Source organism: Homo sapiens, chromosome 6 (genome assembly GCF_000001405.40).
Source record: "Homo sapiens chromosome 6, GRCh38.p14 Primary Assembly".
In the NCBI taxonomy this organism is placed as follows: Eukaryota; Metazoa; Chordata; class Mammalia; order Primates; family Hominidae; genus Homo; species Homo sapiens.
Genome location: NC_000006.12, coordinates 111,414,284 through 111,438,913, shown reverse-complemented (window position 1 = coordinate 111,438,913; position 24,630 = coordinate 111,414,284). Strand labels below are relative to the sequence as shown.

The 24,630-nt window shown below is 36.9% G+C and overlaps 1 protein-coding gene and 1 pseudogene across 16 annotated transcripts in view, besides 2 other annotated features; one reads left to right on the top strand and one right to left on the bottom strand.

Moving 5' to 3' along the window:
• The window catches only part of REV3L (REV3 like, DNA directed polymerase zeta catalytic subunit), a 184,679-nt gene that overhangs the window by 44,798 nt on the left and 115,251 nt on the right, over window positions 1-24,630 (top strand). For all 16 annotated transcript variants that reach the window (NM_002912.5, NM_001286432.2, NM_001286431.2 and 13 more), the window contains one exon: window positions 22,442-22,631. In NM_002912.5, coding sequence (NP_002903.3) covers window positions 22,442-22,631 — 190 coding nt within the window. The remainder of the gene's footprint in view (window positions 1-22,441; window positions 22,632-24,630) is intronic.
• BRD7P4 (bromodomain containing 7 pseudogene 4) lies at window positions 6,960-9,200 on the bottom strand (annotated as a pseudogene).
• Window positions 8,213-8,421: a silencer, noted in NCBI's record as "fragment chr6:111751696-111751904 (GRCh37/hg19 assembly coordinates)". NCBI's record gives its function as "represses an EF-1alpha promoter that drives an FKBP-Casp9 reporter gene in an ReSE screen in both phorbol 12-myristate 13-acetate-treated (for megakaryocytic differentiation) and untreated K562 erythroleukemia cells {active_cell/tissue: K562 | K562(+PMA)}" and the evidence as "EXISTENCE:reporter gene assay evidence [ECO:0000049][PMID:32094911]".
• Window positions 11,321-11,521: a silencer, noted in NCBI's record as "peak6034 fragment used in MPRA reporter construct". NCBI's record gives its function as "represses an SCP1 promoter by STARR-seq MPRAs in K562 erythroleukemia cells {active_cell/tissue: K562}" and the evidence as "EXISTENCE:reporter gene assay evidence [ECO:0000049][PMID:32103011]".

The following is a 24,630-nucleotide window of genomic DNA, read 5'->3' as shown; positions in this document are numbered from 1 at the left end:
TAAAGATGTTGCTCCACTGACTTCTGGTTTGCACTGTTTTTGACAAGTTTAGTTAATGTGTTTTTGCCCAAAGCTTTGGACTTTGGATTTTTATGATTTATCATTTTGCCTTATTCAGGACCCCGTGAGATCAACTGTATGCTTAGTAGAACTCACTTGCCATATCAACCCAGGACTCTAAATAATTAAACATAGTCCTAAGAAAACCTTTCTTTAATTCATGTATGAAAGTTATAGGATATCGGGTTGGGATATGGGATTTTGAGGGATGTGAGGAGCCTGTTCAAATATTAAATTGTTTTTTTGTCATTTAGTTTTATTGTCTGAGAAAACTTTCTTAACATTAACAGTTCTTTCTTGTTAGTTTATTTTTTGGTAATGATCACTTTACCTCTTTTTTTTTTTTTTTAATCTTAATATGATTCAGGGTTTAAAGCCAGGTACACTGGTGCACACTTATAGTCCCAGCCTGGGCAACATAGCAAGATTCTGTCTCTAAAAAAATAATTAAAATAAAAATACTATATTTAGTGCATCATTAAATAAAAATAAAGATATGTAAGTGGTTGTAGTGGCAAATGATTATATTTCTGTATATTCATAATTTATTCCTATGATATAAATTGAATAATTTAATGAATGCATTTTCTCTAATGGTATATTCAAAATTAGGTCATCTCATTAGCAACTGCTAAAGAAAACAATGAGTATAGATAAGTTTAAAAGATTGTATAATAGGCCAGGTGAGGTGGCTGATGCCTGTAATCCCAGCACTTTGAGGCAAGGCAGCTACTCAGGAGGCTGAGGCAAGAGGATCACTTGAGCCCAGGAGTTTGAGACCAGTCTAAGCACTTAGCGAGACCCTGTCTCTATAAAAAATAAAAATAAAAAAAAAAAAATTAGGCAGGTGTCACATACCTGTAGTTCCAGCTACTCGAGAGGCTGAAGCAGGAAGATCACTAGAGCCAGGTGGTCAGACCTGCAGTGAACTGTGATCCTGCCACTGTGCTCCAGCCTGAGTGACAGAGGAAGACCCTGTCTCAAAAAAAAAATTATGTAAGTTTATTGAGATGTAGTTCACATACTATACATTTTACCTATTTATACAATTCAGTGATCTTTGTTCACAGAGTTGTGCAACCATAAGCGCAATCAATTTTAGAACACTGTCACCCTAAAAAGAAACACCGTCTCAAATAGCAGTCAGTACTCATTTCCCACCAATTCCCTAAGCCCCAGCAACCATTAATCTCCTTTCTTTCTCTATAAATTTGCCTATTTTGGACATTTCACATAAATGGAGTCATATAATATGTGATTTTTTGTGTCTGGCTCCCTTAGCATAATATTTAAAATTTTTCTCTATATAATATAAAATTAAAATATTTTAATTAAAAATTGTATACTAAAAATGCTAAAAATTAAAAAGTTTTAGTATACAATTTTTAATTGAAATATTTTAATTTTATATATAGTATAGCATTTATCAGCACTTCATTCCTTTTTATGGCTGAATAATATTCTATTTTCTGGATATGCTGTATTGTATTTATCCATTCATCAATTGATGGACTTCTGAGTTGTGTTCACCTTTTGACCATTATGAATAATGCTGCTATGAATATTCATGTACAGGTATTTGTGTGGACATGTATTTTCATTTCTCTTAGACATATACCTAGGAGTAGAATTGCTGGTCATATGATAACTCTATTTTTTTAACTTTTTGAAGAACTACCAGACTATTCTATAAAGCACCTGCACCATTTAACATTCCTAGAAGTAGTGTATGAAATTTCCAGTTTCTCCACAACACTAGTTATTGTCTGACTTTTTAATTATAGCTGTCCTAGTGAGCGTGTGGTTCCGATTTGCATTTTGCTGATGGCTGCTGATGTTGAGAATCTTTTAATGTGCTTATTTGCCATTTGATATCTCCTCAGGAAAATGTTTATTCACATCCTTTGCCCATTTATAATATTTAGTATTTTTTATTGAGACATAGTAGATGTACATATGTTTGGGGTACATGTGATAATTTACTACATTTACATAATTTGTAAAGATCAAATCAGTGTAATTGGGATATTCATCTCATCTTAAATATTTGTCTTTATGCTAGAAATATTTGATTTATTCTCTTCTAGCTATTTTGAAATATACAACATATTATTGTAAACTATAGTCACCCTGCTGATCTACCAAACACTAGGTCTTGTTTCTTCTATCAAACTCTATATTTGTACCCCTTAATCAACCTCTCTTCATCCCTGCACCCCCACCCTTCTCAGCTTCTGGTAACTACCAGTCTACTCTATATCTTCATGAGATCCACTTTTTTAGCTCCCACATATGAATGAGAACATGTAATAATGTCTTTCTGTACTTGGCTTTTTTCACTTAACATATAATGACTTCCAGTTTCACTTACGTTGCTGCAAATGACAGGATTTCATTTTTTTTATATGGCTGAATAACATTCCATTGTGTATATATACCATATTTTCTTTATCCATTCATCCACTGATGGGCACTTACATTGATTCTAATAATTTTTGTTATTGTGAATATAGTGCTTCAATAAACATGGGAGTACAGAGATATCTTCAGTATATTGATTTTCTTTTGGGTTTATATTCAAAAGTGGAATTGTTGGATTGAGGAACCTCCACACAGTTTTCCATAGTAACTGTACTAATTTACATTCCCAGCAGTGGTGTACGAGGATTCTCCTTTATCCGCATCCTCACCAGCATCCATTATTCATTGTCTTTTTGATAAAAGCCATTCTAACTGGGGTGAGATGATATCGCATTATGATTTTGATTTGTATTTCTCTGATGGTTAGTGATGTTGAGCATCTTTTCATGTGTCTGGCCATTTTTATGTCTTCTTTTGAGAAATATCTATTCAGACCTTTTGCCTATTTAAAAATCAGATTATTTGTTTTGTTGTTATTGAGTTGTTTGAGCTCCTTATATATTTTGGTTGTTAATCCCATGTTAGATGAGTAGCGTGTGAATATTTTTTCCATTTTATGAATTGTCTTTATCACTTCATTGATTGTTTCCTTTGCTCAACAGAAGCTTGATGTAATCCTTTTGTCTATTTTTGGCTTGGTTGCCTGTGCTTTTGAGGTCTTACCCAAAAAAATCTTTGCACAGACCAATGTCCTGGAGCATTTCCCCAATGTTTTCTTCTAGTAGTTTCATAGTTTCAGGTGTTAGATTTAAGTCTTCAATCCATTTTGACTTTTGTATATGGTGAGAGATAAGGAGGTTCTGTTTTTAGTTTCATTGTTCTGCATGTGGTTATTCAGTTTTCCCAGCACCATTTGTTGAAGAGACTGTTTTTTTCCCCATTGTATGTTTTTGATGCCTTTGTTGAAAATGAGTTAGCTGTTAATGTCTGGATTTATATGTAGGTTCTCTGTTCTGTTTCATTGGTCTGTATGTCTGTTTTTATGCCAATAGCATGCTGATTTGGTTTCTATAGCTTTGTAGTATATTCTGAAGTCAGGTAGTGTGATGCCTCCAGCTTTCTTTTTGCTCAAGATTGATTTGGCTATTCAGGGTCTTTTATGGTTCCATACATATTTTAGGATTGTTTTTTCTATTTCTGTGAAGAACGTCATTTATACGTTGATAGGGATTCCATTGACTTTGTAAATTGCTTTGGGTAGAATTGTTTTGTTGTTTTGTTTTGAGACAGGATCTTGCTGTGTCTTACAGGCTGGAGTACAGTGGTGCAATTACATACAGTTCACTGCAGCCTTGACTTCTGGTCTCAGGCAATCCTCCCACCTTTCAGCCTCCCCAGTAGCTGGGACTATAGGCGTGTGCTACCACGTCCAGCTAATTTTTGTATTTTTTGTAGAGACAGGGTTTCACCATGTTGCCCAGGCTTACCTTGAACTCCTGGGCTCAGGCAGTCCTTCAGTCTCGGCCTCCCAAAGTGCTGGGATACAGGCGTGAGTTACCACATTAGCCAGAATTGTTACTTTAACAATATTGGTTCTTCTAATCCATGAGCATGGAGTATCTTTTCATTTTTCTGTGTCCTCTTTAATTTCTTTCATCAGTGTTTTATACTTTTTCTAGTAGAGATATTTTACTTCTTTGGTTGGATTGATTCTTAGATATTTTCTATTCTTTGTAGTTATTGTAAGTGGGGTTGCTTTCTTGATTTTTTTTTCAGATTGTTTGCTGTTGGTGTATATAAATGCTACTGATTTTTGTATGTTGATTTTGTATCCTACAACTTTACTGGATTCATTGATTTTTTTTTTTTTTTTTGAGACGGAGTCTCGCCCTGTCGCCCAGGCTAGAGTGCAGTGGCACAATCTTGGCTCACTGCAAGCTCCGCTTCCCGGGTTCACGCCATTCTCCTGCCTCAGCCTCCTGAGTAGCTGGGACTACAGGCGCCCGCCAGCATGCCCAGCTAATTTTTTTTTTTGTATTTTTATTAGAGACGTGGTTTCACCATGTTAGCCAGGATGGTCTCGATCTCCTGACCTGGTGATGCGCCCACTTCGGCCTCCCAAAGTGCTGGGATTACAGGCATGAGCCACCACGCCCGGACCATTAATCATTTTTAACAGTTTTTTTGGTTGAGTTCCTCAGGCTTTTCTGAGTATAAGACCATGTCATCTGCAAGCAAGGCTAATTTGACTTCTTCCTTTCCAATTTGGATACTCTTTATTTCTCTCTCTTGCCTCATTGCTCTGGACAGGACTTCCAGTATTACATTGAATAAAAGTGGTGAAAGTGGGCATCCTGGTCTTGCTCCAGATCTTAGAGGAAAGGCTTTTAATATTTCCACATTGAGTACAGTGTTAGGTGTGGGTTTGTAATATATATTCTTTATTATTTTGAGGGATGTTCCTTTGTTGAGGGTTTTTATCATGAAGTGATGTTGAATTTTATTTAATGCTTTTCCAGCATCTGTTGAAACAATAATAGGCTTTTTTGTTCATGATTATGTTAATTTGATGTATCATGTTCACTGATTTGCTTATGTTGAACAATCTGCATCCCTGGGATGAATTCCACTTGATCGTGGTGAATGATCTTTCTAATGTGATGTTGAATTTGGTTTGCTAGAATTTTGTTGAGGATTTTTGCATCTGTGTTCATCAGGGATGTTGGCCTGTAGTCTTCTTTTTTTGGTTGTGTCCTTGTCTGGTTTTGGTATCAGGGTAATGCTGGTCTCATAGAATGAGTTTGAAAGTATTCCTTCTGCTTCAATTTTGTTTGAAGAGTTTGAGTAGAATTGGTATTAGTTCTTTATATGTTTGATGGAATTTAGGAATGAAGCCATTAGGTCCTGGGCTCTTCTTTGATGGGAGACTGTTATGGCTTCAGTCTCCTTACTCATTATTGGTGTATTAAGGTTTCTCTTTCTCCTTGATTCAACCTTGGTAGGCTGTGTCCAGGAAATTATCCATTTCTTCTAGGTTTTCCAATTTGTTGGTGTATAGTTCTTCATAACAGTCTCTCATATATTAGCCTCTTCATAATAGTCTCTTTGTATTTCTGTGGTCTCAGTTGTTTTATCTCCTCTTTTGTTTCTGGTTTTATTTGTTTGGATCTTCTCTCTTTTTTCCAGCCTAGCTAAAGGTTTGTTAGTTAATTTTGTTTGTCTTTTTAAAAAAAACAACCTTTCATTTTGTTGATCTTCTGTATTGGTTTTTAGTCTCAATTTCATTTATTTCTGATTTGATCGCTACTATTTATTTCCTTCCACTAATTTTGGGTTTGTTTTGTTCTTTTTCTAGTTCCTTCAGGTATACCATTAGGTTGTCTATTTGAAGTCTTTCTACTTTTTGACATAGGTGTTTATTGTTATAAACTTCCTTCTTAGTACCACTTTTGCTGTATCCCATAGGTTTGGGTATGTTGTGTTTTCATTTCCTTTGGTTTCAAGAAATTTTTAAATTTCCTTCTTAATTTCTTTATTGACCCATTGGTCATTCAGGAGAATGTTGTTTAATTTTCATGTGTTTGTGTATTTTTAAGCTTCCTTTTGTTATTAATTTCTAGTTTTATTCCATTGTGGCCAGAGAAGATACTTGGTATGATTTCTACTTACTTAAATTTGGTGAGACTTGTTTTTTGTCTCAGATATGATTTGTTTCGGAGAATGTTCCATATGCTGATGAAAAGAATGTGTTTTCTGCAGCCATGGGTAAAATGTTCCATAAATGTTGATTAGGCCTGTTTGTGTACTGTGTAGCTTAACTCCAGTGTTCTTTCTTGATTTTCTGTCTGGATGTTCTGTCCATTACTGAAAATGGGGTGTTGAAGTCCCCTACTATTACTGTATTGCAGTCTGTCTCTCCTTTTAAATGTATTATTTGCTTTATGCACTCAGATGCTCTGGTGTTGCATGCATAGATATTTATAATTGTTATATCCTCTTGCTGAATTGACCCTTTTATCAATACATAGTGACCCTCTTTGTTTCTTTTTACAGTCTTGATAGTCTGTTTTATCTGATACAAATATAGCTACTCCTGCTTTTGTTTCCAGTTGCATGGAATATCTTTTTTCAGCCTTTCACTTTCAGTCTGTGTGTGGCTTTATAGGCGAAGTAAGTTTCTTATAGGCAGCATATAGTTTAACTCTTGCTTCTTTATCTGTTTAGACAGAATTCATTCTGCCTTGTGATTAGAGAATTGAGTCCATTTGCATTCAGTGTTACTGTTGCCAAGTAAACTTACTACTGTCATTTCATTGCTTGTTTTCTGTTGTTTTAGAACTCCTTCCTTTTTTCTTTTTCTTACTGTCTTCCTTTGTGATTAAGAGATTTTCTCTGGTAGTATGTTTTAATTCATTGCTTTTTAGTTATAGTGAATCTGTTATAGGTTTTTGCATTGTGGTAACCATGAGACTACAAAAACATCTTAATTACAAAACAAAGAATAGAAATTTTTTTTAAAAACCCTCTTTTTTTTTCCTCAGGTCCCGCTTTATTACCTAATACAAGTCCAACCTCTGGAACATTCAAATTCACTGTTGCAAAGTTTAATTAAAAACACAATTTACAAATATTTAACATATTCTAAAAAGCGTTTCTAAGTTAAGAATGAAAAAGTATGTACATAATATATAATCAAATACAGGTGGCCTCAACTTCCACCAGGTCCACATTCAGCAACATTCGTCTTTTTAGGTTCTTCAGTATCTTCTGTCAAATCCACAGAGTTGTTTTCCATGACGGGGGAAGGAATGGAAATCCCCATTGCTTTTCAAACTCCGTATGTGCTTATGATATCACCTGTAGTTACTTGCTGTGCAAGTTCTTTAAGATTATTGGTCACTTGTTCAGTGAGATGCATTTCTCTGTATGAGGGACCCAAGAGACAGATCATGTTGGGAGGGGGTCTGGTGTTGAAACATTCATTCTGGGCTTCCTGGAGCTAGCTCCCTGAGCAATCTGGTGGTCTCATCAAGTTTCTTCTGGAATATTTCAGCTTCCTCAGAATCAAAAACTTTAACCGGAACGCCAAAGTTTGTTACTGCTTTCAGCGCTATGAGCCTGTCTTGAAGTATTGGAGTCCAGACATCCTGGTGGCTCTACTTCTGTAATCTCCATTTCTTTTGCTGTGTCAGGTGTCCTAGTATGGCCTTCCATCTTCAGGCAGTGACATCTAAATCTCTTGTAGGGTCCTGGAATGCCCTCCTTTTGTTAAAACATCCAGTAAACTATCTGCCATCACAGATGGATAATCTTGGCACGTGGCCAAAAACTCATGGCTGCTGAGATCGCTTGGAAGATCTGTGTCTTCCCCATAGGTTGAATAGATTAAATCAGAATCATTCTTGTTGATATTTGCATATGTGGAGTCATAATGCGGTGCATAAGAACTGTAGGGCCCATAATTCAAATATAACACTGGAGTGACTTTGTTCTTTTGTCCTCTTTGAACCCCTGCAAAGTATTCACACCAGACTGAAGTCTTCCAGTTGTCATTCCCAGTCTCACAGGGCAGTAGCCTGGCTCTCCTACAATGAGATCCACAGGATGGAGAAGTCCCAACATTGTTGTTCCGTCTGGTTTTCTTCTTTCCAATTTGCACTGACTGTTCACAAGCCGCCTGGTCAGCTTTCCTCCAGATTCCTTCACGATGCGGTCAAGCTGCTCCTGCGCTCTCTCTAAATTATTGCTTTTAAACTTATCTTCAAGCATGTCTTTGTCTTTCTTTTTATTTTCTTTGCTGGGACTCTTGAAGGCGTGTGCTTTGGCATCTCCAGAGTCCTCTCTCTTCTCGGCCAGCAGCCTCTGTCCTCCCCACTCTGCGAGGTGTCTGTTCTGTCTTCCTGCTTTTGAGTTTTCTGCAAGTCAGCCATGAAGTCTATGCTCTGCTTCAGGCTCTGAATTCTTTCATGTCTAAGAATTTTCATCCCCGAGTGCAACCGCTTCTTTGCAGCTTTATAATAAATGGTCTCTGGTTTATTGTAAATCATGGCATTAGTACACATTAGTTTGAAAATATCCTTTAGTTTTTCTATGGACTGGTAGTCATTGTTCTTGATCTTTTCTTTCATTTAAAATCCATTGGGTGTTTAATGATCATGGAGTAGCCAGGAGCAGTAAAATCAGTCACAGGAAATGAAAGAAAGCACTTGGATCTTTTCTCTGCAATTGTCTCGCCAGTTGATTCAAAGCTTCTTGAAGGGGTGGGGTATCTGTTCTACTTCTTCTTGTTTGGCTAAAGTGCTTGTGAGAGGCTTCTCACCGGGCAAGTCTAATCCCACAGGGGCGTGACACTGGAGGTCTTTTTCTGCCTCATTCTCCACCCCGTCTCAATCTCGCTTCTTTTTATCCTCCTTAACTCTTATCTGTTTTCTCCCCTTTTCTTCCCCTGGAACCTGCTTGTCTCCTTTCTTTCTCTTTTTCCACTTTCTGTCCTTTTGTTTGTCATGATTGTTTTTTGTCTTCGAAGAGGCTGGAGTTGTGCCCCGAGCTGCCCACGGAGAGTTCGGTGACTTCATTCCCTCCTGCTTTGAGGACCAGCTTCAAGGGCTTCTCTACATACTCCTGGTAGAGGTGTTTGTCCGACTTGAGCTTCTTGTGCTTGTGCTTCTTGTCCATGTCCGACCGGGCCCCTGTGCTCACCCCCCGCGCCAGGCCCAGGCAGTGCGGCGCTGCTTCCGGTCTGGGCCAGGCGAGCCGAGGGCGGGAGCGGGGCCCGCGAGGCCCCTCTCGAGAAGCTAAAAAACCCTCTTTCCTATAACTCCACCCCACCCCGCCCCCCACATTTTGACACTATGTTGTGTTAATTTTTATGTTTTTATATTGCCTATCTCTTAATGGGTTGCTATAAGTATTACTGTTTTTGGTAGATTTGTCTTTTGGACTTCATACCAAACAGAGTTACAAATGGATTGTACACTACAAATTGCAGTAATAGAGTATTCTGGTTTGTTTGTGTACTTAATTTTACCAGTGGGTTTTATACCTTTACAAGCTTTCTTTTTGTAAGTTAGTGTTTTTTTCTGTCTGGTGGAAGAACTCCCATGTGCATTTTTTTGTAAGGTGGTTCTGGTGGTGGTGAATTCTCTTAGCTTAAGTTTGTCTGGGAAAGACTATGTATTTGACTGGGCACAATGGCTCACACCTATAATCCTAGCACTTTGGGAGGCAGAGATGGGAGGATTGCTTGAGTCCAGGAGTTCAAAACCAGCATGGTCAACATAGCATGATTCCCATCACTACAAAAGAAGATTTAAAAAATAAAAAGACAAACCAAAAACCCTCTTTTTTATATTTGAAGGATAGCATTGCTCAATACTTTATTCTTAGATGGCATTTTTTTAAAGCACGTTGAAGATGGCATTCCACTCTTTCCTGGCCTTTATAGTTTCTCTTAAGATGTCTGTTGCCAGACAAGTTGGAGCACTTGTATACATCATTTACTTCTTTTCTCTTGCTGCTTTCTTTGTCCTTGACCTTTGAGTGTTTCATTATTATATAACTTGGGAGTAGTCTTATTTGCATCAAATCTATTTGGTGTTGTCTTACCTTTATTCCTGTACCTGGATATTTATCTTTTTCTCAAGTTTTTGGGATTTTTTTCTGTTATTTCTTGAAATAAGCTTTTTGCCCCTTTCCCTTGCTTAACAAGAGCCCTCACTCTTAAATACCAATAAATTTCTTAGATTTTGTCTTTAGAGGTAATTTTCTGTATCTTAAAGGCAGCCTTCATTCCTTTCCATTGGTTTTTTTCTTTTTTCTCCTCATGTATTTTCAAATAGCCTGTCTTTGAGCTCACTGACTTTTTTTTGTTTCATATATCCTGCTATTGAGAGACTTTAATGAATTTTTCAGTTCACCAAATGTATTTCTCAGTTTTGATTTCTGTTTGTTTTCTTTGTATTATTTCACTCTTCTTGTTAAATTTCTCTAATAAATTTCTGTATTACTTTTCTGTGTTGTCTTGTAGGTTATTTAGTTTCCATTGTGCTATTGAGAGTATCTAATGAATTTTTCTGTTCACCAAATGTATTTCTCAATTTCGATTTCTGTTTGGTTTTTTTTGTATTATTTTGATCTCCTTGCTAAATTTCTCTAATAAATTTCTTAATTACTTTTCTGCTTTGCCTTGTAAAAGTTACTGAATTTCCTTATACCTGGTATTTTGAATTCTTGATCAGAAAGCTCATGTCACTGTCTTCTTAGGGTCAGTCACTGGTTCCTTGCTTTGTCTGTTTGAGGTCATGGTTCCCTGTTTTCTGTTGTTTGTTGTGGATATACATCTGTGTCTTTGCATTCAAGGATTAGTTATTTATTCTAGTCTTCTCTATCTGGCTTGTTTTGGTTTTTATCGAATATGCTTGCTTAGAGATTCTTTGAAGTTTACCTGTTAATTTTCTTTCTTTTTTTTTTTTTCTTAAATCTGCTAGGTTGCTGCCTCCTTTTCAGCACCTAACCTCTGGGTAGAGGTTCATGTCCAATGAACCTGTGAAATGAACCTCTTAACAGTGTGGTGCTGCTGAACAGCCACTCCAACTTGGCATCTCTTTTGGCTGAGTTACATAGCAGAGTTTCCAGGACTAGGGATGGTAGTCCCACCTCCGACCTCTTCTCTTTATTTCTGGTGGTTTTCAGGGATTATTTCTCCCTTAGGTATTTCCACTGCTCCCAGTTATTAGGACAGGGATAGGTCTCTTGCCAACAAACCCAAGATGGTGGAGAAGCCAGTTGTCCACCTCAGTTATACTTTTTCCAGTGTAGCAACTCTGAGTTGGGAAAGTTTTCTGCATGCTTGGTGCTGGACAGATTGAGGGGAGGGGCACTGTGATTATGAAAGTCTAATTTGCTTTCTTTTGCTCAGAGTTTTTTCACTTCTTTGTGGCCTTGGGAACTGTCTCCTCATATTTGAGTTCGGGATATTGCTCATGATCGTGTCAGCACTGTATTTGTGGTTTTGGTTTCCTGTGGCAGTGAGTGAAGCCAGGTTACTTCTGTACCACCGTTTTACAACCAGAAGTCTCTGTCCATTTTAAAATTTTATTGTCTTTTTATTATTGAGTTGAAAGAGTTGTTTGTTCTAGATACAAGTCCCTTATGAAATATATGATTCACAACTTTTTTTTCATTCTGTGCATTGTCTTTTCAACTTTCTTTTAGACAGGTAAAAGCTTAAGGTCCTTTAGTATTCAGCTACCATAAAATATGGTTGAATAATTTACTAGACTTGCATATAATGTTAATTACCAATAATATTTTATTTATTTGCATTTGAAGGAGCATTTAGGTATTTATGTACAAATTTGACCAGACAGTAAGTTTGTTTTGATTAACTTTTGATATTGCTTTAAATTGAGATGAATTTTCATGTCATAATCAGAATTTTTTTTTGAGACTTTGGTTTATTTACCTTTCAATTAAAATACCACAAAAATTAATGTGTGTGACCATTCTGGCTAAATTATCTGAAACTAAAAAGTGTTTGTTTTACAAGCCAGAATTTTATTTTTCACTAAGGTTAATAACACTAATTATTTTTATGACGTTTAGTCTGAAAGGTGCACATTTTCTTGGAGATTTGTGCTTGAAACTACTGTTAGAAGCTTTGTTTTTTAAGACTGAGCTTTTTAGAAATAGTTGTACCATGGCGTGTGCCTTTGAGCAGTACCCATATAGTTTCATAGTTATTGAAAATCAAGGGAATTGTTGATTTACTTTCTATAACAATAATTGCAGATTAAATTGCTTATGAACTTTGGATACAACATTTCATCAGATTTCTGACATATTAATCATAAAAGAATCATATTAATCATCAAACTACTGTTGTTCAGTTTGGAAGTTGGCCCTTAACCCATTTATGCCTAGTGTTCCATTATTGGGCTGCTAAGCTTGTGGGAGTTATTTATATCCTACTGCTCAGGGTCATCACCAAAGTCTGATTTTTCACACACAAAAAATTGCAACCTCTGGCATAAATGGGTTAATTGATTCCCTTCTAGTTCCGTTCCATAAAGGGGAGATGTGAGGACATTATACATATCTTCATTGTTTATAAGGAGAAAGAAAATAGTTTATAAGGAGAAAGTAAGATTTAAATCCATCAAATTTTCAGCTAGACTCAGTTGAAAGCCTTCTTAGAGGCCACCCAATTTGAAAAAGACATCCTGTGCATCAGTTTTACAGTAACAAATTCTCGGTTTTCTGACATCAACTGTGGGTGTTCTACAATTGAATTCAATTCTGACACTAACTACTACTAATGTATACCCTACAGGGTAAGGGTTCTGTCCGATAGTACTGCTCACTTCAGACACCAGCCACAAATGGAGTCCCTAGGCTCCCTGCACTTCTGCCCTACCTGAGGCTATCCAGGAGCCCCCAGCTACCAGTCATCTCATTGGTACACATGTAAACACTTAACACTTAAAAGAATCCAAACGTTTTAGGAGCTGTGTACCAGGAAGAGGGACAAAGACCAAATATATATTTCTTCTTATATCATAGTATCATACCCCCTCTTGTAAATTTTTCATTTTAGTTATTGAACTTTTCAATTCTGGAATTTCTATTTGGTTCTTTTTTTATAATTTCTCTCTCTTCATTGATATTCTCTATTTGGTAAGATGTTGGTCTCATACTCTCCTTTAACTCTCTTGACATGTTTCTTTTAGTTTTTTGAAATAGCTGGCTTAAAATCTTTGTCCAGTAAGTCCAACACCTTGGCTTCTTCATGAACAGTTTCTGTTGTCTGCTTTTATATATATGTGTGCATATATATATATATATGGTGCCATATTTGCCTGTTTGTGTGTTTTATAATTTTATTTTTGTTGAAAACCAGACATTTTAAATTATGTAGCAGTTCTCAAGTTAGATTCCTCTCTACCCACCCAGTTTATTTTTGTTGTTGCTGCAGTTTATTTCTTCAGTGATTTTCATGGGCTTATTTTGTATAGTCTCTATTCTTTTTTCTTTTTTGAGATGGAGTCCCACTCTGTCGCCCAGGCTGGAGTGCAGTGGCGCAATCTCCGCTCACTGCAAGCTCCGCCTGCCGGGTTCGTGCCATTCTTCTGCCTCAGCCTCCCGAGGAGCTGGGACTACAGGTGCCCGCCACCACACCCGGCTAATTTTTTTTTGTATTTTTAGTAGAGACGGGGTTTCCATGTTCGCCAGGATGGTCTTGATCTCCTGACCTCGTAATCTGCCCGCCTCGGCCTCCCAAAACGCTGGGATTACAGGCATGAGCCACCGCGCCCGGCAGTCTCTATTTGAAATCTCTGCTCAGCTAGCATAGTGGTCAGTTAATGGTTGACCAGAGATTTCTTTAAATGCCTCTTTTCTCAGCTTTTGCTGAGGGGCTCTGTGAGTATGTTGGGGCAGAGCCTCAAGATCAACCAGAGGCAAAATATTAGTCTTCTTAGATCTTTCCTGGGCATGTACATAGCCCTACACATGCTTATGGCCTTCTAAATTCCCTTAACTGTATCAAAGCTTTTCCAAGCCCCCGGTGGACATTTCATTCCTGTTTGTACTTTTGAATTTTTTGGTCAGCCTCTTGTTAGACCCAACTGGTAAAATTTCTCCAGGCAGCTACAGCAATTAAATAATTGCTGTTGATTGTTTTCCACAAAGACCCTGCCGCATATAGGGCTCTTCACATAGTGTGAGCCCTTCTTCAAATCAAATAAAGGCAAGTGCTGGGAATGGAGTGTTGTTCAGCAAGCTGCCAGACAAGTCCAATAGTGGCAGTTTTCTGAGGGTAGGGCTTTGGAGGAGCTCCAAATGGGTTCCGGCTCCTCCAGTGGCTGCCTGGCTGCTGGTTTTTACAGCTGCTATGGATGCAAGGCTTTGATTTTCAAGACTGTTTTGAAGCTGCAGAGGGAGAGATCAGATTAGAACAAGTTAAAATGCCACAAAGCTTGCTGTTTTAGCATTCATCTGGTGTTCTTGAATAAATACGCCTTGAATTGTTGCAAACCTTTAATTTCCAGAGTTCTGAAAAAGTTGCTTTTGACAGTTTTTGCCAGTGTTCTTGTTGCTTTTATGGAGGAACAGATATTGAAAGGTCCTTACTCAGCAATTTTGTAAATGCCTCTTTTCAGTCCTATATACTTTTATCTACATCCTGCCACCAATCTCTGATCCAGCCTCTCGTTACTTGCCTATCTCTTATATTTCCACTGGATCCTTGGAACACTGGTTCCATGGCTAATATGTTTATATTATCAAATTTTCACTATTAGCTTCCCTTTCTTGCCTGGTAGCCCTCTCAGGGCTCTGTCTGTCACATTTCACATAAATCAAAATATTTAGTGCCTCTCTTAAATATCGGCTCAGGATTCTTGCCTAGGTCCCTTCTCTTGTATTGGGTATTGGATATTTTCCCTGAGAAATCTTACCCAATTGTTGCTCATACTGGCAAATCTGTCTTCTTCTCTAGCTCAGATCTCTTTCTTAAGCTCCATATCTGTATGTGTTTCATTTAAATATCCATTTAGAAATTCTATAGACATGTAAAATTGTATAAATGCAAAACAGAAGTCAACCCGCCCCTCTTTTACAGTTTTCTTTGAGTGACATTATCATCCGTCCAGTTGCCTAAGCCAAAAATAAGAGTCATCTTTGATTCCTTCTGCCTTATCCTACTCTCAAATTCCAGTTACCATAGCCTCTTGATTCTACTCCCTAAATCCTTGACCTTTTCTCCACCTCTACTGACATCTCGACTGAATTCCTCCAGCAGCCTCCTAAACAGATTTTCCTTTCTGTAGTTCTGTTGCTAGTGTCCCCACAATGTGTCCACAGGGAACTTTATAAAATGCGAATCTGTACAGGTCATTAGTACATGCATGTGCGCACACACACAAAAACACAGACTTTCTCTCACACACACACACACTGTTTTTCTCTCTCTCATACTCTTTTTCTTTCTCTCCTTCTCATACTCTTTTTCTTTTCTCTCCACTGCACTCCTTGTTTCATCCCACCTACACTTTTCCTGTTCCCAGATGCCATGTTTCTGTTGCTGTCAGGTTTCTGTACATACTGAAAACATTCTTCCTCATTTGCTTGGCTAAATCTGATTCATAGTTCAGATATCAGCTCAAATGTCACTTCCTCTGGTAAGCCTTCCTAGATTCTCACAAGTCTGAGTTAGATACTTGTGGATATAGCCATAGGATTTTGTGCTTCTGAGCACCTGTCATACCATACTGTAATTGCCTATTTATTCATCATTTTCTCCAAGTAGACTATAAAGTTAGTGGCTTTATAGTCATGAAGTTAGTGGCTGTGTTATAAGCAGCCTATGGTTTAGCACCAAACATTGGGTCTCCACAAATTACTTGAGTAGAGAAATTATGACTACATTTATGAATAAAGGAACCAACTATACCCTGCACTGTATATACAAAGACACATTAGACAAATGTATGAATAAAATAGACTTTTGAAACATCTGGTATTTCAGCGATATAGTTTCTCTTAGTAATTTGGGATTAATCATTTAAAGCCAATGATTCTAGATAAAGTTCTGTATATTTTATTTGAAGAAATAAAATGGCATAAATAAATTTGAAACTCCAAAGTATTATTTACAAATAAAAGGAGAAAATGAAAGGAAACTGTTATATATTATGCTTTGTTTTGCCTTTTAAGTTTCTGGGTTATTTAAAAGTAGGTAAATTCTTTCTTCCTCCCTTTTGTTTACACAAGTTGTATATTTAGTGGGGGGAAATATATATATATATATATATACGTATATATATATATATGTATATATATATATGTATATATATATATATGTGTATATATATATATATGTGTATATATATATATATGTGTATATATATATATATGTGTATATATATATAAAAGAATCACCCATATATATATAAAAGAATCACTCATCACCTGGTCTCATGTACTATGTTATTTTATAACTGATTTTCATCTGACTATAAAGACATCATAAACATTTTCTTATACTAGGAAATACACTTAAACATCTTCTGTTGCTGAGGTTAGCAAACTTTTTCTATAAAGAACAAGAAAGCACATATTTTAGGTTTTGAGGGTTGTAGGGTGTCTATTGCAACTGCTCAACTCTGTCTATAGCATAAGCAGCCATAGACCATTCTAAATGGCTGTGGTGTATTCTTATAAAACTTTATTTAGAAAATCAGGCAGGAAGCAGGATTTGCTACAGAGCCACAGAGCTATTATACAGATATAACATAATTTTACTTATTTCCCTATTTTTGGAAATTTAGATTATCTTCATTTTTTTCACTATTGTTAGTCATACCTCACATCTTAGTATCTGAATCTTCGTGTACATTTTTAAGTTTTTCTGTAAGATAAATTCTGAAAATCTAATTTCCAAGGCTAAGAGTACATCCTTACAACTTTTCTTTTTCCATGAGAATAGATAATTTAACACTTTCTGTGACTGAGTTTTGTTTAGTTCGTTTTGTGGTTTTGTGGAGATGGGAAAAGAAAGATGGAGTAAAATTTAGAAAGACAGAAGCAAAGAAAGACTGGAAGGAAACAGATGGAGTTAATGATAGTGATATAAAACTTGAGATGTTCCAGGAAGAAGAAAATATGAAAATTTTTGTAAACGTAAATGTTCTTGCTCACATACCAAGTTTTTCTGTTTTATAGCTCTGTCGAGGTTTGTTTAAAACCTTGTTTAGATTGAATTTGAGATTTGGGAGATGGGATATGCAAATTACACAATGAGTATTTCTTATTCTCCTAAGATACTCTTAGGCTATCACTATTTTGATTTTGATTACCCATCAGCTTTAAAAAAAAAAAAACTTTTCTATTCCAGATGATGATGGAGAAAGAAGTCTAATTAATTAGAGCAGAGATTGGCAAACTACTATCCATGGGCCAAATCCCTCATGTTGCGTGTTTTTGTAAATGAAGTTTTATTGTAACACGGTCATGCCCGTTCACTTAAGTATTGCATACAGCTGCTTCCAGGCTACAACAGCAGAGTTATGTAATTGTGTCAGATACAGCATGTCCCATAAAGCCTAAAATATTTACTGTCACCTTCCAGAAAAAGTTTTCAGACCCCCAAATTAGAGGAATGGTACATTTAGTCTTTGTGTTTATCGAAACTGAATCTACAAAAATACCCCAAGTAATTTTACTACAAATAGGCTAACAAGATTTTAGATGGGCAATTTAGAGACCAAATCAAGACACCTAAATTGCAGAATAAAATGTTGAAAAATGACAATAAGAAATGTTGGGATATAAAGGACTTAATGTTTTGTTTTGTTTTTGTTTTTTTTGAGATGGAGTCTCGCTCTGTCTCCCAGGCTGGAGTGCATTGGCGCGATCTTGGCTCACTGCAACCTCCGCCTCCCGGGTTCACGCCATTCTCCTGCCTCAGCCTCCCGAGTGTCTGGGACTACAGGCACCTGGCTAATTTTTTTGTGTTTTTAGTGGAGAGGGGTTTCACCATGTTGGCCAGGATGGTCTTGATCTCCTGACCTCGTGATCTACCTGCCTCAGCCCCCAAAGTGCTGGGATTACAGGCGTGAGCCACCATGCCCAGCCAAGGACTTAATGTTTAGTATAATTCTGGGTTCCGTGAAAGATGAAATTCAGAGCACCCACATACTCCTTGTTGAAGAGGCATCTGCCTTTTGTTATGTACTTACACACAATGGGAAGTAGCCAGCTCCACAGAGTTTTGCCATGGTGTCAAGTTTTGGTGGCGCTTTTTAAAATAACTTTTGCAGCTTCTGAATTAGGGAACATCAATCAAATTGGAAAATTCAAACTCTGAAATTTTTGAAACCTGTGTACATGGGCTTGTTCAGCCACAGACGATCTTATTTCTCTTGGACTTGTTGTCTAACTTCAGTTTGCCATGATAGTAAGAGGGAACCTTCAGAGGAGGGGAAGGGGAGTTGTTGTTTAAAGAGTATGAAGTTTCAACTAGACATGATGAATAAGTTCTGGACATCAGTTGTACTGCATGGTGACTGTAGTTGATAATGTATTATATACTTGAAAATCGCTAAGAGATTAGATTTTAAATGCTCTTACCACAAAATAATAAGTATGTGAAGTGATGGATATGTTAGCTCGACTTAATCATTTCATGGTGTATACATATCAAAGTTTCATGTTGTATACCATATATATGTACAATTTTTATGTATCAGTTTACGTTAATAGAGTTGAAGGGGTAGGGATATTTTCTTTCCTTAAATCTATATGTTACCTAGAAATACCTAATACCCTGACTCCTTTAAGAATCCAAAATGGCCGGGCGCGGTGGCTCACGCCTGTAATCCCAGCACTTTGGAAGGCCGAGGCAGGTGGATCATGAGGTCAGGAGATCGAGACCATCCTGATTAACACGGTGAAACCCCGTCTCTACTAAAAAATACAAAAAATTAGCCGGGCATGGTGGCAGGCACCTGTAGTCCCAGCTACTCCGGAGGCTGAGGCAGGAGAACGGCGTGAGCCCGGGAGGTGGAGCTTGCAGCAAGCCGAGATCGCAACACTGCACTCCAGCCTGGGTGACAGAGCGAGACTCCATCTCAAAAAAAAAAAAGAGAATCCAAAATCATTTAGTAGAAGGTTTCAAAATACCATAACTTTCACTAATTTTATAAAAACATTCTTGAAAGCATCCTGTATGTGGAACTTCTAGAAGTATAGTGGAAAAGCGCCTGGACTGAAGTCACAAGTTCTTAATTAGACCACTAACTAGATGTTGAAAAAAGCTGGGTTTCTAGTACCAGCTACCTACCTCTGGACTTCTTTTAGGAGAGAAGCCACTAATTTTAATGCTAAATCCACTGATTTGGGGGCATTTTCTCACAATTTAACCTAATCCTAACTAACGGGAGTTGTAGTAGACTGGTTTATCTCTAAAGACTTTACAGCTCTGTATCTCCACACATTTGTGTGAGGTAGAGCTAGCGGAGGGAAATAAATAGAAGTGGTCTGTATCTTGTCAAGATAAAGCAAATTACAGAACTACAAATTTTATGGTAATAAAAGACATACTATTTCCAAAAAGCAGTTGACTCTCGTGTTCATTTTTACACATTTCTCTTTCCTTATTTAACTTTTGAGTTTTTTATTTTATCCTGTTTCTTTCATTTTCTCTTATATCATTCTTATTCTATATTAGAGCTGTTAGTGCTATGCCAAGAATTCCTTGTGTTGTGGTTGTTCTTCAGGAGGTTGTTCTTGAGGAAGGGTGATGAGTAAGGCACTGAGCCATCTCTAGCTGCAGGAGCACTGGAGAGAGAGGTACGTCTGTGTTGATAGAGTGACTACAGATTTGGATGGCACTTCAGGTCATTCAGGGTAGGAAAGTGCAATATGTTGGGGATCCTTCTCAACCCCACACACCCATGTCCTCCTCTAACCCTGATGGTAGTTACATTAATTGTATCAGAGTCCCTCTTTTTTCGTGGATGTGTTTCTTCAGATATTCAAAGGCTTTCACATCATTCCTTTGTCCTTAAGCAGTTATTCTGTTTTGTTGTGGGTTCTTTAATTCATTTAATAAATGTTTGTTAAGCACATACCATGTGTTTTTTGTTGAGTTCTGGGGACATAGTGTTCATTTGAACACAATAACACCTCCCTAAGAGTTTTTGCCATGAAATGGGAAAGTTAGATAAGGAAACAGGCAATTATAATAAAAAATAAAAACTGAGGAATTAAGGAAGCCAACATTGACTTTTTAAAAACATTGAACCAGCATGGTTAAATGGAAAGAGTATTGGTTTTAGGTTTTGTTGAGCTGGATTCTATTGCTTAATAGTTATGTGACTTTGGGAACGTTAACCTCCATCAATACTGCAAGATTATCCTAATTAGAAATACATAGGTAAAGCACTTACCCTATTACCTGCTGAGTAAATCATTTCTTCCTTTTTCCTAAATTGTACATCCCAAAATTGTTGTAGTTCTGAAGCCTATAAATAGAAAGGTAATTCTTCTGGTCCCTACTTCACAGGAGATGTGAAAAGTGGATATAAAATTATTTTTAAGACACTTTGTGAACACTCTGACCATAAAGAAACTATTAATACAGTCCAATTTTGTAATTGTTTCTTGTAAAATTTACCCAAAATTCCATTATTGAGATATATTGACTATAAAACAAATACCTTAGGAATTTACAGTATTGCTTGTAAAATATGGCATTGCACTAGTAATTCTGTAATCACTGGTCTTGCATTTGTCAACTTAAGAGGAAATAATTCACTGTCTTCCCACCTCCCTCAACCTGTAGTTTAGCATACCAGTTACTCTTAGTCAAATTGTGGTTTTTGTCCAGAAGGGTAATGGTTATAACATTTATTCATGAGATATTTAAAAAGCATTCAAGTAAGTCATCAGTAAATTGATTAAATCTATTAAGACTCATTAATATAGTTTGAATGTTCTCTATTTGAAGAATTGAAAAACTATGAAATTTAGGAATTAATACCATGTTGTATTTAGAAATGAAATAGCCAAACTGGAAACTGAAATTTGTATAACAGCAACACAATTTGTAATTTTTCAAAAGCACGACAGTTGGTAGTTCAAATCAGAATATTACAGTTCGGAGAATCAGATCTTGTTTCATTATGTGACTGATCTTTCTAAATTTGCTCTGCTTTATGTAATAACTGTTCCAGATTTATTTTTCTGTCGTAAGTGTACCTTAAAAATAAGAGAAGCTAATGTTATTCTTTATAAGAAATGTAAACATTAAGATATCAACACAGTGTAGAACTACTTTCTATATATTTTATATAAATCATTCTAAATCATAAATGGGAAATAGTGATCAAACAAATATTTACATTCCTACCAAAAGAAAAGGCCCAGTGAAGCAGAGTGAGGAGGGATAAGGGGTGGGGAAGAAGCCTGAGGCTTGTGTTGGCAGGAACAGCACAGTGAGAGCGGGTGACAGCATGAGAAAAATGGATGTGTTCTTCCATCACTGCTGTTCTCCTCTCTGTTTGGATTAGACAAATGGCACATACCCAAGGGGAACTAGGGACAATGCTCTGAGGACAGTAACCACTTCCATACAGCCCTGCCAGATTCATGAGAGCAATGGTGCATCTGCTTTTTGTTGCCATTGTTGTTACTTAATCTTGTCATGGACAGATTATCGTTTCTGTGGCATTTCTTTTGTGGGTTCTCACTCAAATTACTTTCTTTATCATGGCTGTGCTGGATTGTCTGTTGGCAAGTCAGCACCATTTACCCCTTCTGCACCTTGACTGATATATTGGTTTTCTGAGAAGTGTGCATGTTGGCCTTTTGTCTCCCCTTGTTCCATACCACCAAATATAAAATTTAGATACCCTGAAATCCATTATAGATAATTGATCTGTAGAGATTTTGTTTTGATTTGGTTTTGTCTTTTTTTTTTTCCTTTTAATGGCAAAATTTCATTTTTACCCTCCTTCCCACTGCAATAGCAAAATTCTGCACACTGGAACTGCTTTTACATTCCCCTTTCTCCCAGAGCTGCCTCTCTTTTAGGGAAGGCTCTTGTTTGAAAACATTAATGCCAAGACAGGCATTCATTGATTTATTTAGTAAACTTTTTGTGAATTTTTGTAACCTTCATAACACTGTGCTTATAACCTTCATAACACTGGTATTTATAGATGATTCAGTGAAGTACACAAGACTAGTTGGATTATGAGGGTTAAATAGTGAAAATACTTTCATCAAAACTACTGTTTAAGTCATACTGTTATACAATGCTTGTGTTTACACAATGTTTCCAAATGTTCTGTTGTAAAATGTAGTTAATACTGGTTACTTTGAACTATGGGTTAATTTTTTTCAACTCTTCCCTTAGATAAGCTGTGTTGCCATTAGAACATTTAAATGAGTTTCATTCTGAGTTTTGTATTGTTAAACTGTGTCTGGAAACTAAACTTTATAATGTGTTACATTTTAGGTCAGAAGACATGTCTTCATCTACATGGCATCTTTCCTTACCTCTATGTGCCATACGATGGTTATGGACAGCAGCCAGAAAGCTATCTTTCTCAGATGGCATTCAGTATCGACAGAGCACTTAATGTGGCTTTAGGCAATCCATCTTCCACTGCTCAGCATGTGTTCAAAGTGTCATTAGTATCAGGAATGTAAGTATATGATAATATATTTTATAATTTCTGTTTATGTTGCTATTCTATTTAGAGGAAAACATACTCAGTTGATAAACTCTATTTCTTTTACTTCTAGTCTAATGGAACTGTAGTGAATTCCTTGCTGTAACTTTTTAACATGAATTTTTATGGCAATGAAAGGTAGAGAGTCAACAGTGATTTTTGTTGTTTCCTTTCCCATTTCTCTGCTTCCTGTAACTATAGAAATTCATTAGTAATTCATATAGTAATTTATTCAGCAAATATTTCTTAAATACTTTTTATGTGCTAAGCACTGTTCTAGGCGTTTGGGATATACTGCTGGACAAAACAAAGAGCCCTGCCCATGTGGAAGTTACATTCTACTACGGGAAACAGATAATAACCAATAAATACAACATTAAATTAATTTATTTGCTATATGATAATTAGTCGTGTGGAAGGAAAGAATCTATACAAGCAGGATAAGAAGGAATAGTAGTGTGGGGTAAGGAAGTAGACTAGTGACAATTTTAGAGTAATCAGGGAATGTGTCATTGACAAAGTAACAACATCTGAGCAAAGACCTGAAGGAGGTAAGGGAGTAGGAACAGCATGGAAGCCAGGTGACTAGAGTGGAAGAGTAAAGGAGAGTTGGACTAAATGAGATAAGAGAGAGATGAGAGGGTAGAGACTGTGAGGACCAATGATTCTCAAAGTGTGGTTTCCATACTTTGGTTTCCTAGTATCACCTACTATCATTAGCTTTACCTAGTTTTACAGCCATGAGAATATACCTCTCAGATCTCCAAATACACAGAGAATGAGTGAATGGCCCCAGCTACTATACACTCAATTCCAGTCTGTCACTCCACATGAGCTGCTTTCCATAGGCTACTCTTACCCTATGACTGAGCATGGCAAAGATACTAAAGCAGATCTGTAAAACATCCCTCTGTCCACTTGAGATGAGACTGGTATCTAGGTCTGGTGGCTATGCCGGCTTCTTCTGGCTGCCTTCTCATTTTCTCTCACATTTGGCATTTACTTCTTGGAGGACTGGGACTGACACACCTGGGAACTTGGTAGAACTACATTCTTGGGGCCCAGCAATTTGTGTTTTAATAAAGCCTTTCTGATGATTCTTATGCATGCTTAAGTTTGTTAATCACTCAGTAGGCTAATGTAAGGACTTTGACTTTTACTGTAAGTTATTACATGATTTTGAGCAGCCAAGATCTGGCTTAAACTGGAAAGGATTACTTAAGCAACTGTATTAATAATAGATTGTAGGGGGACGAGAATAAGAGCAGGGAGAGAATTAGGACATTAATCTGGGTAAGAAAATATGGTGGCTTGATATTAAGGTAGAAAAGACCAAGGAATTAAAATTAAAACAAAAAAGAAAATAGTGTGGCTTGAACTAGGGTGGTAGCAGGGAAGTAATCATCAGCTTCTGGATCTATTCTGAAGGTTGAGTTAATGTATTAGCTTTGCTTTGTGTTTGGGTAAGGATTGTGAGAGAGGAATCAAGGTTGACTGCAAAAGTTTAAGGGTGTTCTGCTAGGAAGACGGAAGGTAGAGGTAGAGTCAACTGACAGGAAAGATCTGGAGCTCATACAGGAACATTTGAGTTGTTTTATGTCCATATGAAATCCAAGTGGAGACCTTAAATCTCTGCTTCCACCTTAATCTAGGCTTTCCTCTGGACCATGATAGTATCATTTTAATTGAATTTCCTTCTATTTTTATCTCATTCCAGAGCAGCAGAAGTACTCTTATACTGTAAATTTAAAATCATTTAAAAATTCTTGAGTGGCTTCATATTGTTAATAGAATACAATTTAAACTTCTAGCCATAACCTATGTGACCTCACCCCATCTACCTCTGAAACTCTGCTTTCTGTATTCCATTCAGAAACAGTGACTTTCTCTCAGTTCCTCTGCTATCCAAGTTGTTTCTCACCTAAGTTCTTTGTATGTACAATTTTCTTTCCTTGAGTGTTCTACCCTTCCC